General features: G+C 35.6%; 1 long non-coding RNA gene across 1 annotated transcript; it reads right to left on the bottom strand.

Moving 5' to 3' along the window:
• Nucleotides 1–419: 419 nt before the first annotated feature.
• On the bottom strand, nucleotides 420–3,523 carry LOC124902915 (uncharacterized). Its single transcript, XR_007063271.1, has 2 exons — nucleotides 1,141–3,523; nucleotides 420–1,039 (listed from the first exon to the last, which is right to left on the bottom strand). It is a non-coding gene; the product is annotated as an uncharacterized LOC124902915 (long non-coding RNA).
• Nucleotides 3,524–4,034: the final 511 nt, after the last annotated feature.

The raw sequence follows: 4,034 nt of genomic DNA, 5'->3' as shown, positions 1-4,034 counted from the left end.
CAAGTAACACTTTTCATCATACTCCTTTTAATAACCAAAGGATGTACCTTTCAGTGCTGTGGTACCAACTCAGCCCTTTAGTAAGTGTGGGGCCTATGAGTGTCAAGTAAAGAAAGCTGTCAAAATGGAATCAGAATCCTTTGAAAATATTCACCTTTGCAGTGAAGTCATTCTAACTGTGCAGCACTTTTAACTTTTTAACATGTTTCTAAATATTAAGCATGCTAAGCTCTGAATTCTAAGATATAATATCTCAATAGATTCAAATCTTAGTGGATTGGATCTTGACCTGGATATAAGGCTTTCCCTTTTACTGAAACTGAATTTAGACGTAAAAGCTTTTTTTCTTTTTCACTATGGAATAGGAAACTTGACTTACTTAGTGTCTAGCATCAGCTATGACTTTAAGAAACATTTTCTTGCCAGGATTTTGACACTCTTTATTAGTGTCTGCCGAATGGTAGAGAATATATATGAAGCAGAAATCCTCAGAAGATTCTAGCTTGTGGCAAATCTGATAGGAAACAGGTCAAATATAAATCACAGCATTGACAAGGAAGACAACTCTAATTAGCATTTCTATGTATGCTTAATTTTTCAGCATGTTAAGAGAGGGAATATGAAGATGAAACTGTAACTGCTTGTGGCAAAAAAATCTGTTTTCTGGCAGTTTTTGAAAGCATCAACTAAAATAAGAAATTATTAAATATAGATATAAGTTATTTTATATCATACTTATGTAAATATCAAATTTTGATTAAGGTCACCTTTAATCCAAAAAAGAAAAAAAAACTAATATGAATGGATCAAGAAGAATAGTAAAATGATAGGGGAGACTCAGGAAAACAATGGATGTTATTATATGATATTAAGAGAAAATCACTGAGTTAGGATTCAGGAGGACTGAATGTTTGTTTTAGCTCGGCTGCTACATGGCTATTTGATTTTAGGCAAAGTGGTCACTTCATCTCTTGGATTCAATTCCTCCATCTGTTACATGGGGGTCACAGCATCTGAGATCTTTTCCATCTTTCAGTTTCTGTGAATACATAAGAAGAAATAACACAGGTGAAAACATTTTGAGAAATATAAAACTCTACACAAGAGTAAGATGTTACTGTCATTGGTGAAATTTCTTACCTAAAGACAACAGGGGCAGATTTCACAGCTGTTACTGACAAGTGGGGAGATTGTGCAGGTGGGTCATGTAGACATGCTCCTTCAGGCTGAGTCTTGCAGGAGTGAGGAACTTCACACCCAAATAACTGCTGAGAGGAACAGTGCCAGTGATGGCCTCCATGCCTGGGAGTCTTTACAGCAATGTACACAGGACTAGGAGGGCAACATTGCAAAACCTCATAATCTTGTAGCCACTTCTTGAAAGCAGAAATATAATAGGACAATTTCCATAGCAGAATTTTACTTCCTTTAGCCTCCAAAAAGATCAAAGAATTCCCAGGCATCTCTACAGACTGGCCTTCTTCAACTGGCCTTTCTAGCCCTTTAAGAATCAGCATTCTTATGAATATAGGCTTCTTTATTCCTTAAGAAAAAAAGATGAAAAAATGTGATTGGTTATTATTTACTAATATTAACACATATACACTTCATCTGAGAAGTTTCATCTCCAAATGCAGTTGATGAGGGCTGGAAAAGTGGCAAAACGAACACTTGCTTCACTTCAAGTTTCCCTAGGCCCTTCCTCCCTACTGTCCCCACCCCCTTGCCCTCCACAGCTATTTAAAAGATGCCATTTTTATTTATTTATGTACTAATTAAATAGGTAATAATTTACATGATCATCAAAATGATATAAAACAATCCCCTATTAAACATTTTGCCCTGTCTATCCAATTCATCTTCTGAGCCTTGCAATCAGCCTTTTTAGTTGCTTCTGTATGTATTCAGTGTTTCTTTATGTATATCAATACAACTGTTTGCATGTCTTCTTATTTCTCTTCTTTATCACACAAAAAAGTTGTGTGCCAAATACATTCCTGTGCTCCTTGTCCCCAAACTTTTCTAATATAGCCTGCCGTTTATGCCCTTTGTAATGTAATGGTCACATGGTTCCATTTATAGTAAGCAGAAAAAGCCGAGTCTGATTCATTGAAAGGTTATTGCCCTTCTGAGGAGGAAATTAAAACTATGTAGCAATTTTAATTTTAAAGTAAATTCTGGTGCTGTGGCATAGCTGTGACCCTAAGCAACAATCTCATCTCACAGTCTTAGAACATTCTGTTGGCATTTGATGTCCTTAATAGCCCAAAGAAACCACATAAAAGTGCTTTACAAAAAGACTCGTTGAATTCAATTAAATTTAGAAGAAACTTGGCTGTTTTGCTTTTGTTTCACTTTTGCTTTAGTTTAAAAACTGTGAGGATGAGGAAAATAGCTTAGATGTTAAAACTTAAGTAACAAACAGATGGGGAGAAGACAGAAGTGTGAAAAACTGTCAATCTATCCATCCATTCCTGCATGCAGCAAGAATTACTGAGCTCCTGCTGTACTCCAGAAATGATTCCACACCCTGGGGATACAGTGGTAAAAATGCCAAGCTCATAACAGCTTGATGCTTGTATTCTAGGCTCTAGCATATTCTATTACCCTATACAAAGGCACTATGATCTGCCATCAAAATTATTGCTCTGCTTCCTATTTCATCTCCTCATTTCTATCCATCCATCCTTTGATCTACACTCATAACAGCAGCCAGACTTGTTCTGTTAAAAACAAAGGCCAGATGATGGCATCCCTACTCAAAATCCCCCGATAGTTTCTCATCCCCTTTGAGTAAAAGCCAACGTTCTTATAAGGCCTACATGATCTAGCTCTCTTACTGATCAGTGAAACTACATAATAATACATTTAGATATAAAACATTATAAAGACTATGAAAAATGTAGAGTAATATACAGCAGCATTTCTCTTTCCACTGAGCAATATTATGTACTCAGTGTGTACAGATTACTGATGCCACCTCTTTAGATTCCAGGTATGAGAATGGTTATGACTGAGCAGTAAGTACAGGCATTGGCTTCAGTAACCATAGATTACCTTTCATAAAAGCATTGACATATTTAATGGAAGTGGCAGACAAACATTCATTATTTCTGCTGTATCATTGTCCTATCTATCCATTCAGAAAATATGCAAGAAAGCACAGCAGAAAAAAAAAATTGGTTGAAAATAGTAGATTTAGGCCAGGCTGAATTGAAGATTTTTAATTCTTTCCCTTGGAATTTCTCAGAGTTCAGAGACAGTCTCAATAATAAAACAATTCAATGCCTGAAATCAAATATAAATCAATGCCTTCAAAAATACTGTTTTATTTTGCAAATGATTGAAAAGATCCCAACTTTGTGTTTCCCAAAACACCGAAAAGAGGTTTAAAAAGGTGGTTGGCTATATTTCTTTCCAAACAGAGTCAGATATTAAATGTTACAGATAATTTTCAGCCAACTGACCGGAAGACTTTAAAACTATAATAGTTTTATATCCTTCCATGTAACTTTTGGCAAAGCGGATTATACTGCTAGGATTTCCAGACAATATACTAAAAACAAAACGACTCTCAATTCCTTGAAAGAAAATAGTTCATACTATTTACCATGGCTGCATTCCAAACTTTAAATGCAAATAGTACAGTTATATCATAGACACTCAAAAAATCTATTGAATGAATTACTAAACAAATAGATCCAAATAAGTCTTTCTTGCATATTTATTAGTAGAAAGAAAACAAAGAACCAGGACCATCTAGGAGATTTACCTATATTTGGGATAGGAACCTCTCTTCCTCTGGAATTCCTTGCAGTGACATCCATTTAAGTTGTGCTTTAGATCCCATGAAGCAGCATGGGGGTGCAGAAAGAGAAGGCTGGTGGTAGTCAGAGACTCCTGAGCTCATAACATGGCATCCTGTTTGCTAGCTGACAAAGTAATCTTATGTGTGTTAGTTCTGTGGTTCCATTTTGATATCTATAAAATTAGCCTAACACTACCTCCCTTACAGAAACATAGTGAGGATTAAA

Source organism: Homo sapiens, chromosome 12 (assembly GCF_000001405.40).
Source record: "Homo sapiens chromosome 12, GRCh38.p14 Primary Assembly".
NCBI lineage: Eukaryota > Metazoa > Chordata > Mammalia > Primates > Hominidae > Homo > Homo sapiens.
Note: the sequence above shows the minus strand (reverse complement) of the source record. Positions and strands in the feature narration are given on the sequence as shown.